Genomic DNA, 13,689 nt, shown 5'->3' on the forward strand with positions numbered 1-13,689 from the left:
GGATTACAGGCACCTGCCACCACACCCAGCTAACTTTTGTATTTTTAGTAGAGATAGGGTTTCACCATGTTGGCCAGGCTGGTCTCGAACTCCTGACCTAAGTTGATCCATCCTCCTCTGCCTCCCAAAGTGCTGGGATTACAGGCAGGAGCCACCGCACCCGGCCGTGTTTTTTGTTTATAAAAGAAAAAATTTCCAGAGTGCACTTTACTCCCTGATAGGAGACTAAATTACTTAAATATAAATTTTAGAAGGTACGTGTTAAATTAACCTAATGAATTAGTAGCATTCAGAAGTGTTTGTATCTGTTAAAGATTCAAAATATACAAACTAATTTCTTTTAATGGTGATTCTATTTCTAGTAAACTAAGGCAGAAATCATTATGCAGAAGAAACAGCACCCTGTTAACCATGTTCTTTTTATAAACCGTCTCTGTTCTCACTTTATTGTTAGGAAGGCGTAATCTGTTTTCATGTAATATAAGTACATGTGAGTCATGTTGAGTTTCTTCACTCATTTGTCCAATTCCCAGTCAACCTGTAGGTGGAGTTAACCTTTAGTTACATAATATAACGAAACAAACATTAAACCTACTGCTTCTGGGACAGTCTTCTCACCAAAATTCAGGGAAAATGGGAGGGTGTTGCCACTGACTGACTTAATGAAAGTATCTGACAAATGTAAGGTCTTTCAAATAGTGAGATAAGAAATGTATATAAATTATTTGATCGACTACTTACTTTCTATCTATACACACACACTATCAGTATATAATGTGTATTTTCATTTTATAGCTATTAAATATGAGGTTCTAGAATGAGTTTTCAGTTTGCAGAATTCTGAGAATCTAGTTCCAACACCTTTGAGAGGACAACAACCACAATTGCACTTGCCATATTTATTAGTCAAAATGAAGCGAAGTCAATCTGTTGAAAGCTTTGTTTTGTTTTTCTGATTAGTTTGTTTAATAAGACATTCAAATTATGATCTTTAATATAATTTCTTCCCCTAATAGCTTGGTGCTAACAGTGGTTTGCACATCATCATCTTTGATGAAATTGATGCCATCTGCAAGCAGAGAGGGAGCATGGCTGGTAGCACGGGAGTTCATGACACTGTTGTCAACCAGTTGCTGTCCAAAATTGATGGCATGGAGCAGCTAAACAACATCCTAGTCATTGGTATGTTTACTTTTTAAAAAAGTACTATTCATTCAAAAACGTTAGCCATAAGTTCTGAATTAAGATGTGTGTAGGTTGTGATTAAACTGTTTTGCCAGTGTTTCCAAATTAGAATCCAGTGATATTGAAGAATCTATTGTAATGCCTAGGCTTAATAGGAAAAATAAAAGATGGATTTCAGTCACTTGTAGGTTTAAGCTTATAGCTCACCCACAGGTGAAAAAGATGTAGGTTGAAGCTTATAGCTCACCCAAAAATGAAAAATACACATGAAACAATGGAATGCAGTGGTTTTCAAACTGGGTCTTGCAGGCCTTCAGGGGTCCTCAGAGGTGCTTTCAGGGTCAGTGAGGGCCAGGGAGTGCGTTTCAGATCCTACATCACTATTATAACTTCCTCTTTTAGCTGTTTTATGTACTGAGGTGCTTCTGAAGATGACTTCTGGGGAAAAAAAAAAAAAAACACCCTGCTGTTTTATGAAGTCTGAAAACCACTGGCCTGTAAAAAAGAGAAGGAACTTTGGAGTCAGAGAGATCGTGTCACATTGCCCCTCTGTCACTTTGACAGATTATTTACCCTTTGAATCTTAAATTTTCTTTTTAAATACTGGAAGTTTTCATAACATTTATATTCCATTGGCTTATACAGTAGTGAAATAGTAAAGCAAAGTCTCCTTAGCTTGTTAGGGAAATTACTATTCTTACATATACTAAAAGGACATTTGATTTTATTTTTGAACTCTGATCATTTGTTGTTTTGTTTTAACATCTGTGTTCAGGAATGACCAATAGACCAGATCTGATAGATGAGGCTCTTCTTAGACCTGGAAGACTGGAAGTTAAAATGGAGATAGGTAAGGAGATCTGTCACTGATTGGGTGTGTGGTGGGGGGAGTGGAGGCATTTAGAGTTCATTAACAGGAACAATGTCATATGGTGTAGTATTTTTTAGAAAAGGTTTATATCATGAGAAGTAGATGTTTACATGCTTGAGTACCTATAAGGAAAACATTAGGATCATAATAATCTCCTCTAGGCTGGGCGCAGTGGCTCACACCTGTAATCCCAGCACTTTGGGAGGCTGAGGCAGGTGGATCACTTGAGGCCAGTTGTTCGAGACCAGCCTGGCCAACATGGTGAAACCCCTTCTCTACTAAAAATACAAAAAACTTAGCCGAGTGTGGTGGTGTGCACCTGTAATCCCAGCTACTCGGAAGGCTGAGATAGGAGAATCGCCTGAATCCAGGAGGCAGAGGTTGCAGTGAGCTGAGATCGTACCACTGCACTCCAGCCTGGGAAACAGAGCGAGACTCTGTCTCAAAATAATAATAATAATAATAATGATAATCTCCTCTGATGGTGCTTTCGAGACTAGGAAAATGCCTATTTTATTTTTAATTTCATCAGGCTTGCCAGATGAGAAAGGCCGACTACAGATTCTTCACATCCACACAGCAAGAATGAGAGGGCATCAGTTACTCTCTGCTGATGTAGACATTAAAGAACTGGCCGTGGAGACCAAGAATTTCAGTGGTGCTGAATTGGAGGGTCTGGTGCGAGCAGCCCAGTCCACTGCTATGAATAGACACATAAAGGTCAGGAAAATCAGCTAAACAGATTATAAACATTATGCCGGTATTCTTTCTCTTTCCTTTCAAGCATATCAAGGGGTAGGGAAATGCTGACTTTTGGTGGAGAAGAGATGGTAAAAGGAATAAGAATTAATTGTCAACTGCTAAATCTTCAGAGTAGCAGGAAGGAAGATAATGTTTGCATCTGCCCTGTAGTAACCACTGACTCATCTACCTTAGGTCATCACCATCTGACACAGACACGTAAAGTGAAAATTTTGAAGAAGTGTTTTTAAATCTTTGTATTGTATTAAAAGTTGTAATATGGCCAGGCATGGTGGCTCATGCCTGTAATCCCAGCACTTTGGGAGGCTGAGGCGGGCGGATCACAAGGTCAGGAGATCGAGACCATCCTGGCTAACACGGTGAAACCCCGTCTCCACTAAAAATACAAAAAATTAGCCGGGCATGGTGGCGGGCACCTGTAGTCCCGGCTACTCGGGAGGCTGAGGCAAGAGAATGGTGTGAACCCAGGAGGCAGAGCTTGAAGTGAGCTGAGATTGCGCCACTGCACTCCAGCCTGGGTGACAGAGCGAGATTCCGTCTCCAAAAAAAAAAAAAAAAGTTGTAATATGTCAGAGGAAGTGGGAGTTTCCACGTACTAGAATTTTGGGGGCTGCTTTATTCAGCAAATATATTGAATAGTTGATGTGTTCAAGCTATTGGGCTGGAGACATAAAGATAATTGTGAACTCTTCCCTCAAGGAGTTCAGAGTCAGGAAAATGGACATATTTTCAAATTAGTACAATAATATTGTAGTTACCATGGTAGAAATACGTACTAGGATACTTTTATTTTGATAAAGTGCTCTTGATCTTCCATCTCTTCTCTCCTTTAGGTTTTAGTTACCACCTGTAGACAGATTTACTGAACATATCTGTCTCCTACTTTCAGATTTGTACTAAATACCCTCACCTAGATGTTTTATCAGGTCTCAGATTTAATATTGCAAAACCAAATTTATTGTCTTTTTTACTACTTTCCTTTCTGCTCGCATTTCCCTGTTTATCCCAATTTCCCAGGCTTAAAACATCAGGATTATCTTTGATTCCTGACACTCTACTGTGCCCTAGGTCAAGTCACTTGCCAAATTTTTTCAGTTCTGTCTTGGCAGTGCCTTTTAGTTCTCACTGCCACTACCCACCTTCTCTTTGATTAACCTTCCTGTATCATATCATTCAACCATTCAGACACTTTCAGTGATTCCCCATCATTTACAAAACAAAGTACAGGCTTCTTTTGGGTCTTTTGGGTCCTCTAGATCTGACCCTAACTGGCCTTTCCAAATGTGCTCCTGATTATTCTCCACATACTTCAGCCAAACTTAAATAATCACCGGTCATCAGACATTAATTTATTTTTCAACATCTCTGCTTTGGTTTTGTTTTTTTTGCATCACTGAGGATCTTCATCCTCTACGTTTACCTGTCTTTTCAAAACCTGGCTCATATGCTACCACTGTCCTCACACCTTTTCACATTTTCCCTTTCAAGAATGTTATACCCGTTTCCTTCTTGAAATAGTAATGTATCATTTATGGTACTGTCAGTTGACTTTGGTTCACAGTAGATTTATTCGGCATCTACTGCATGCTAGACCCTGTGCTAGGAGTTAATACCCCAACTGCAAAGAAGTAAAGTACCTACCATTAAGCTGCCCTCAGTCTAACCCTCCACGTGCAGTAACAGAAAGTACATGCAAGGCAAGAGAGTGAACGCATGTCAGATATGGTCAACTTGTGGGGTGAGAGAAACCTTCATATGCATGTCTGTTGGTAGAGCAGGGCCTTTTAGGTAGAGGGAACAACATATGCAAAGAAGCAGAGACACAGAATAGCATAGTGCGTTGGAGTAGTTTAGTATTGCTTCAGCATGGAAGTTAGGGGAGGGATGGTAGAGAGATTGTGGGGGATAAGTCAGGAGACTAAAGTAGGGATGGAGCACAAAGAGCCTTTTATACTCTGCTAAGAAGTATGGACTTTTTTTCTGTGAGTAGTGCTAAGCCATTGAGTTTTAAGAATAGCAGTGACATAGTGTTAAAACATAAGATCACTCTGGCAGCTCTGTCGAGTGGAGTAGTTAGAGGAGTGGAGTTGGCGACACAGGACAAGAGGGGGAGCTTTTATAACAGTTCAGGCAAGAAATAAAAGCCTGAACAGTTAGGTTGAGTATGTAGATATTTGGGTATATCCTATCACTGGTTCTAGACCAGGAATCCAGCCAACTACCAGTTTTTATAAATAAAGGGCTTTTTTGGAACAGTACACATTAATTTGTGTACTGTCTATGGCTGCCTGCATGCTACAGTGGCAGAGTTGAGTATTTGCAATAGGGGCTGCATGGCCCACAAAGCCTATTTTAGTGCTTTTATTTTAGGTACTATCTGCCACTTTACAGAAGTTTGCTGGCCCTTGTTCTAGACTTTAAATCCTTATCTTATTCACCTCAGAGTCTCCCATAGTACCCCAAATAGATCTAAATAATGAGCACATGGTAGGTGTCCAGTAAATTATTTTTCTTTTTTTTTTTTGAAACAGAGTCTTACTCTGTCGCCCAGGCTGGAGTGCAGTGGCACAGTCTTCGCTCACTGCAACCTCTGCCTCCTGGGTTCAAGTGATTCTCCTGCCTCAGCCTCCCAAGTAGCTGGGACTACAGGCATGTGCCACCACGCCCAGCTAATTTTTTGTATCTTTAGTAGAGATGGGGTTTCACCATGTTGGCCAGGCTGGTCTCAAACCCCTGACCTCGTGATCCGCCCGCCTCAGCCTCCCAAAATGTTGGGATTACAGGTGTGAGCCACCATGCCCAGCCAATATTTTTTAAATGAGTAAACTTACGTAACTATTCTGAATCACGCTCTATCCATAAGTCATAATTTCCCTACATAATAGAGGTGGATTTGTTCTAGCTCAAGAATGCCAAAGGTTTGGATGGTGTGGGAATATTGTATTGGGTCTTTATATAATGGATCCATTCAGGGACTATGTTTTTATTCTTCCTTGTTTGTTTGTTTTGAGACGGAGTCTCACTCTGTCGCCCGGGCTGGAGTGCAGTGGTGCAATCTCGGCTCACTGCAAGCTCCACCTTCCAGGTTCAGCCATTCTCCTGCCTCAGCCTCCCAAGTAGCTGGGACTACAGGCACCCACCATCACGCCTGGCTAAGTTTTTGTATTTTTAGTTGAGATGGGATCACCGTGTTAGCCAGGATGGTCTCGATCTCCTGACCTCGTGATCCGCCTGCCTCGGCCTCCCAAAGTTTTGGGATTACAGGCGTGAGCCACCATGCCCGGCCATGCTATACTGTTTTAATAAGAAGAGATGGCAACTTCAAGAAAAATGATGTAAACAGTGTGAAAACTGGTCCCTACCATACTGATCTTTCATCTCAGACCACATGGGTGCATCTTGATGTAATCCACAGTAACTAGTTTACTAGTTGTCATATTTTTCATATGTGTTGGCCATGGAATTTTTCTCTTATTTAGTCATCTGTCATTTTAACTACAATAATCCTATCCCAAAATTTCACTTTAAGCCGTTGTCTCAGTAAGAAACATGCTTTCTTCAAGCATATATTGGGTTTATCTACATATGAGGCAATGAGGGATGGTGGGAAGATCGCAGATATCGTAGTCAGAAGGTGTGGTTATGCATTATATTTCTTCCACCTTTTTGTTTCTGACCTGTCAAGGGGAGACACTACCTATCTAATCAGATTTTTATGAGAATGAAAGCAAATACTTTATATAAAAGTGCCTTGTAAACTCTATAAATGCTAGTTATCTCCATTTTTTTAATTGGCTGATTTGAGAGGATATCAGTACTTTTCAATATATGAATTTCTGATTTTTATTGACTCTTTGTAGTTACACATTTTCTAATTGTAAAGCTAAAATGTTTGTCACCCTTGTACATAATATATTATCCTTCTGATTTGCAAGTAAGCAGTAGTGCAAATAGTTCATGTTTCCATCACTTTTTTCCACATGATAGAATTATCTGTAAGCTTCAGGTGATATGTATTGACTTGCGATCATTGCTCCTTGTACCAAACAGCTCCTAACTTTTCACCATATCAATGGAATAACTATGTAGGCACTTTAGGGATGAGAAAGCTATGTAAGACACTAACCTTACCCCCAAAAAGAAATATTACTAACATTTCATCTTCTGCATTTTAAAAAATCTGCATTGTCAGAAGGTCTTTAAAGACTATTTTTCCAATGACTCGTCCTTGGCTAAACAAAAGAAGTACAGTTTTAGTCTTCCATTGCTATAGATGTTTGTAGCTTTAATAGTGATTGATGAATAAATATTTAAATTGAAACTTATAAAGTTGTTACTGAACTTTAAAACATTCAAAACGTACAAGTGTTATGATGTTCTTTCTTTGTATTTTAAAAATCCATTATTGGTGTTATTTTGCTTCCTTTTCAAAAGATTGAGGCCTAAAGAAAGATTTAGTCAGGTGGACTAAACAGGTCTTTCCTGTTAAACTGTTTTTTCAGGTTTTCTGAGACAAGTGGAAAATCTGGTCAGAAACACCTGTTGTTCATGTCATTTATACTTGAACCTATGATTGCGGTCAACTAAAATTCATGTGACATTTGGTTGTTTTTATCTTGAAAGGAATTTCTGCTTCAGGTTGAGAAGATTCATAACCCAAATTTTTTCTCTAATCTGTTGTGAGGAAATAAACTGAGGACACACACACACACACACACACACACTTTCTCTCACATACACTTTCCACCGGAGTCAAAGCTCTAAGTTATGTTTACAGAATTTCATAAAATTATTTCTTATTTTTTTGCAGAATTTTTGATTGATTAAGGTCATTCTACCCTTAATTTAAGAGGAATGATAAGAACTTTGAAAGGTCAGATTTAAAAGGTTATGAAATTTAAGGGTGACCACTTGATATTTGCTAGTGTTGAAATACAAGTTTATTAGTTTCTGCAGGTATAAGCTGAAAGATGCTGCCTCTTCTATATTGATTAGCTGTTATAAATAAAATGCAGGAAAAATGTTGCTAATTCAAACAAATGAGAAAAGGTTTTCTGAAAAAGTAAAAATTCAGAATTATAGACTTTTTAAAATTTTACAAATTTTGATAAAATGCTAAAAGTCAGCTAAGAGCAGTCCTTAGAAAATTTATTTTAATGAGCAGGTAGGAATAATTGACAATTGGAATATTGATGGCTTACAATTATGTAACTTACAGAATTCCTTATGTGCCTGAAAACAGTTTGTTTTGAAATACTTCTTCCCCACACCCATCTTAATTCACTTTTAAGAAAGGACTCAGCAATTAATTGGGTGAGTCTTTTCTTAATAATTAGCAAAATGACAAGTTTTATACCAGCTTCAGTCCTAAAATCTATCGTATTTTTTGGCAAATTTTGAAAGATGGGCAAGATTTTTCTTTCATACTGCTGTATGTATCTATCATTTGAATTCGGTTTTACTGTAAGAGAATCAGAATGCAAAATATTATGGTAAAAACCTAGGCCTGTGTAGGAAAGAGGTGTTTAAAGTGAGGCTGGTAGCTTTGTTGAGATTTTAATGTTTCGGTCAGAGCTCTTGTCTTCCCTTTGGCCTGAGAGTTTGTATCTTGTAGAATCCTTTCAGATGTATCAAAAAGTTTGAATCAGAGTTAAAACTTTTATATAAGGGTATCTAGGAAGGAAGTCCTGTATCTGCCTTTTATAACTTATGGAAACCCCCAGGTTTGTATAAGTATAAAATGAGATAATGTGATATGGTGAAATGAGATAGTGTGTATGAACATACTTTATAAACTATAAAGAACTGTAGACATTTGTATATTATTAATTATCATAATTCTTTCACGGATATGCTTGTTTCCTGTGACACCATTTTTCTTTTTTTCTTTTTTTTTTTTTTGGAGATGGAGTTTTCTTCTTGTTGCCTAGGCTAGAGTGCAATGGCGTGATCTCGGCTCACCACAACCTCCGCCTCTCGAGTTCAAGCGATTCCCCTGCCTCAGCCTCCAGAGTAGCTGGGATTACAGGTGTCCACCACCATGCCTGGCTAATTTTGTATTTTTAGTAGAGACAGGGTTTCGCCATGTAGGTCAGGCTGGTCTCGAACTCCCGACCTCAGGTGATCCGCCTGCCTCGGCCTCCCAAAGTGCTGGGATTATAGGTGTGAGCCACCGTGCCAGGCCCATTTTTCTTTTTTTAAACTTAGAAATGCCAAATAAATGCGATTAATATTTATCAAACCTCATATGTGCCAATATAAGCCCTATTAATAATTTAAATGTTTATGTTTTTTTGTTTGTTTGTTTTTGTTTTTGAGACGGAGTCTCACTCTGTCGCCCAGGCTGGAGTGCAGTGGCGCCATCACAACTCACTGCAAGCTCTGCCTCCCGGGTTCACGCCATTCTCCTGCCTCAGCCTCCTGAGTACCTGGGGCTACAGGTGTCTGCCACCACGCCTGGCTACTTTTTTGTATTTTTAGTAAAGACAGGGTTTCACTGTGTTAGCCAGTATGGTCTCGATCTCCTGACCTGGTGATCCTATTGCCTCAGCCTCCCAAAGTGCTGGGATTACAGGCGTGAGCCACCATGCCCAGCCCAATAATTTAAATGTTAATTGTTCTATTGAAGTAAAATATTTGTCTCTTTGTTACTTTTTACTTTATTTTTAAAAGTATAGAAGTTATAGATGATGGCTTTCTTTTTGTAAAAGATTCAAGAATGTCAAAGCATATAGGGAAAAATGAGAAAGGCCATCTCTAACACCACTTTCCTTTCCCTCTCCAGAGTTAGCCAAAATTTGGGATATATCTTTGAAGTTTGTTTTCTTTATATAATATTTACATTCATATACGTATGTGCTTTTTTAAAAAAATGAACATTAATGGAATTATACTGCAGTTTACATTTTTCACTTGCAAATATTCCTTGGATAGCTTTCTGTGTCAGTGTATGTAAGTCCCCTTCATTATTTTGGACAAATGCAGAGTATTCTAGAATATTGCCACATAATGGAAAATATAAGATCCATGAACACAGGGACCTTTTCTGTTTTATTTACTGCTATGACTCCAGTTCCTCAGATAGTGCTTGGTGTCTGGTAGGTATTCAGTAAATAGAATTAATGAATAATTTATTTAACATATGGATTATTTCTGGTTGTGGCTGTTGAAAAAATACTGTTGTGAAAATGCTTACTTGCCTCCCTGTGCACACAAGGAATCATTTTCTAGGGTAGCCATCCAAATGTCTTTTCAAAGACATGGTTTCATTGTCTTCTAGTTTCTAGTGTTGCCAGTGAGAGTTATCATACCAATCTCGTTCTGGTTTCTTTGCAGGAAACCTGTTTTGTCCCTCAGAAAGGTTCTAGGACTTTCTCTTCACCTTTGGTGCTCTGAAAGTTTACAGCAGTGGGTCTGGACAGATGTGTGCTTCTTTTCATTTATCCCGATCATCACTCACTGAACCCTTTAAACTGCAGAGGCACACCTTTCTTCAGCTATAGGAAATTTTTTTCTCTTCTGTCTTTTATTGTTTCTTCTCTATGACTCTTTCTGTTCTCTCCTTCTGAGACTCCTGTTAGATCACAGTTAAAACTTATGGATATTTCTTTCATGCTTTGTAGCCTTTCTGTCTCACTTTCTGTCATTTTGTGGGATTTGGGGCGGAAGGGAAGATAAATAACTGTGTTCTGTTTGCCATCTTCACCCAGCTTCCTGCCATAGTTCTTTTTATCCCACAAGGATGACTTTTTTTTATATCTGTCACTTCATTTGTCTCACAGTCTCTTCCTAAAAAAAATATGACTCATATTTCATAATAATTGATGGAAGGTTGATATTTATTTAACATGCGTTTGTTTTATAGTCAGCTTTTTTTGAAAATGCTTTTTTTTTCAAAGCCATGATACCAATTTAAAAATTAGGCTGTGTTGTTTTGTGCTATTGGTAGTGAGCCCAGTCGCTTTAAAACACGTGTTGGTATCTTAATCACTCATCTGGTCCAGGCAGCTCCAAGTGCTGATAAAGGCCTTGATGCTTCTCCAGATGTCTAAATGCTAGCTCCAGGTGCAGTAAGCAGACTATTTGGAGCTGGCACATAGATTCTGAAGCACAATGTATTAATACAAATGAAAGTTTTAGGTTCTTGGTCTCCTAGAGTAATGGTTCTTAAGCCTGGTTCAGTACCAGAATCACCTGTGGTACTTGGTAAAACTATAAAGACCCTCTAATAGGCCTGTTAAATCAAAATCCCGTGGGGAATGGGACTGAGCGCCTGTATATCTCTGAAGGCTCTGGAGGTTATTCTGATATGCAGCCAAGTATGGCTGTGTTTTCATTTCTGTATATATTTTCTTTTTGTATGGATTTTTCACTGTTCTTACTCTCTGTATGTATTTTTTCTTACTCATGCCTCATGAGTTAAAATGGCTATACAGTGTCCCTTGGTACAGATGTGTTCTAATTTACATAACTGATCCCCTCTTGGTAGACATTATTAATATGCTTCCCATCTTTTTTCATAACAAGTTACTTTAGTAGATATACTTGTACATATAACTTTGTACACATTTGTGAATATATTTAGGGGATAAATTACTAGAAGTGGACTTGTTCAGAGGATATATATATTTGTGAATTTGAGAGATGTGTTTTCTTTGATTCCAATTTTTAAAATTGTTTTAAAATGCCCATAAAATTGTCCGGGCGTGGTGGCTCACGCCTGTAATCCCAGCACTTTGAGAGGCCGAGGCGGGTGGTCACAAGGTCAGGAGATCAAGACCATCCTAGCTAATATGGTGAAACCCTGTCTCTAGTAAAAATACAAAAAATTAGCCGGGCGTGGTGGTGGGCACCTGTAGTCCCAGCTACTCGGGAGGCTGAGGCAGGAGAATGGCGTGAACCTGGGAGGTGGAGCTTGCAGCGTCCGAGATCGCGCCACTGCACTCCAGCCTGGGGGACAGAGTGAGACTCCGTCTCAAAAAAAAAAAAAAAAAAAACAGAAAACCATAAAATTTACCGTGTAACCATTTTAAATGTACAATTCAGTGGCATTAAATACATTCTTAATGTTGTGCAACCATCACTACCATTCATCTCCAGACCTCTTTTCATCTTGTAAAACTAAAACTCCATACCCATAAACAGTAACTCCCCATTCCTTCCTCTCCCTATCCCCTGGCAGCCACCATTTTACTTTCTGTCTCTTGGATATCAGCTACTCCAGGAACCTCATATAAGTGGATTGTACAGTATTTGCTTATTTAACTTAGCGTATGGTCCTCAAGGTTCGTCATGTTGCAGGATATCAGAATTTTCTTTCTTTTTAATGCTGAATAATATTCCATTGTATGTACGTAACACATTTTGTTTATCCATTCCTCTGTCAATGGTCATATGGATTTCTTCCACATTTTAGCTATTGTGGGTAATGCTGTCATGAACAAGGCTGTACAGATATCTCTTCAAGACCCTGTTTTCAGTTCTTTGGGGGTATATACCCAGAAGTGGAATTGCTGGATCATATGATAATTCTATTTTTAATTTTATGAGGAACCACCATATTTTTGTTTTCCACAGTGACTCAACCATTTTACTTATGTTCCCACCAACAGTGCATAAGGGTTCTGATTTCTCCGCATCCTCACCAACACTTCTTATTTTCTGCATTTTTGTGGTAGTAGCCATCCTAATGAGTATGAAGTGAAATCTCTTTGTAGTTTGGATTTGCATTTCCCTAATGATTAGTGAGGTTGAACATCTTTTCATGTGCTTATTTAAGGCCATTTGTATATCTTCTTTGGAGAAATGTTTGTTTAAGTTCTTTGCCCATTTTTTATTTAGTTTTTTGTTGTTCAATTTTGGCAGTTCTCTATGTATTCTGGATATTAATCCCTTATCACATATATGGTTTGCAAATATTTCAGATTTTTTTATGTGTGAAAATATGCTTTTAAATCCTCAAGAGTTACGTTCTTAAATTGAATATATTCTTAACTATTCTTAAATCTTGGAAGTCCTTACATTTTGTTTTTATCTCTTCTTAGGCCAGTACTAAAGTGGAAGTGGACATGGAGAAAGCAGAAAGCCTGCAAGTGATGAGAGGAGACTTCCTTGCTTCTTTGGAGAATGATATCAAACCAGTGAGTATGCCCATTGAGTGATATATAGGCCAAAAAGTAATGATAATAATAACTCAGGCGAAACGTAAGTGCCATTTACTCAGTATTATGGAAGGTTATAGCATATGCAGTTTCATAAAATGAGAAAATTTTAGTATTGGAAATGTTCAGTATGAGAAACATCTGTACAATAATCCTAGTGGCTGGTGATATTATTTACTGAAATATTTTCATGATAGGAAGCTTACCATCTTGTAAGGCAGGCCATTCAATTTTGAGACTTTCCAGTTATTGTTTTACTTTATATTGAACTAGAACTAATTTTCTTATTGGTTCTTATACAATCCCAAGCTACAGAAACCTAACTTCAGTCCATCTTCCATATGTCAGTTATTAGGATATTTAAAATTAACTCTCATATCCTCCTCTGTCTCTCTCTCTCTCTCTCTTTCTCTTCCTTTCCTCAGCCTCTTCCAAGGCATCCCTTTTTCTTGCTCAGTACATTTAGTTTCTCTGACTACTATAGTTTCTAAGACTTAAAAAGTGTCAGTTTTCTTAAAACGCATTCAAAATGGTCATAGTTGGAGCTTTAGAATACAGTTTAAGGTTATTAACCCATTTTCCTATAAAACAACTACTAACATTTGAGTAACTTTTGTTTAGAGTCCTGTGTTAATACAAAAACAAATTGTAGAAAGTCCCAGTTCTTAAAGAAGTGTGTGCTTTTCTTTCTTAAATGGACCTCAGGTCCAT

General features: G+C 38.2%; 1 protein-coding gene across 3 annotated transcripts in view; it reads left to right on the forward strand.

The window, feature by feature from the left end:
* The window catches only part of LRRC37A2 (leucine rich repeat containing 37 member A2), a 676,337-nt gene that overhangs the window by 101,392 nt on the left and 561,256 nt on the right, over positions 1-13,689 (forward strand). For 2 of the 3 annotated variants that reach the window (XR_007065300.1, XM_047436147.1), the window contains exons 10-13: positions 1,017-1,182; positions 1,961-2,035; positions 2,589-2,776; positions 12,862-12,957. Coding sequence is in view for 2 of the 3 variants with exons in the window: in XM_047436147.1 (XP_047292103.1) it covers positions 1,017-1,182; positions 1,961-2,035; positions 2,589-2,776; positions 12,862-12,957 (525 nt within the window). In the remaining variant the exon portion in view is untranslated. Of the gene's footprint in view, positions 1-1,016; positions 1,183-1,960; positions 2,036-2,588; positions 2,777-12,861; positions 12,958-13,689 lie in introns of those variants that run through there. The other variant, XM_047436145.1, reaches the window with a different exon arrangement.

Source organism: Homo sapiens, chromosome 17, assembly GCF_000001405.40.
Source record: "Homo sapiens chromosome 17, GRCh38.p14 Primary Assembly".
Lineage (NCBI taxonomy): Eukaryota > Metazoa > Chordata > Mammalia > Primates > Hominidae > Homo > Homo sapiens.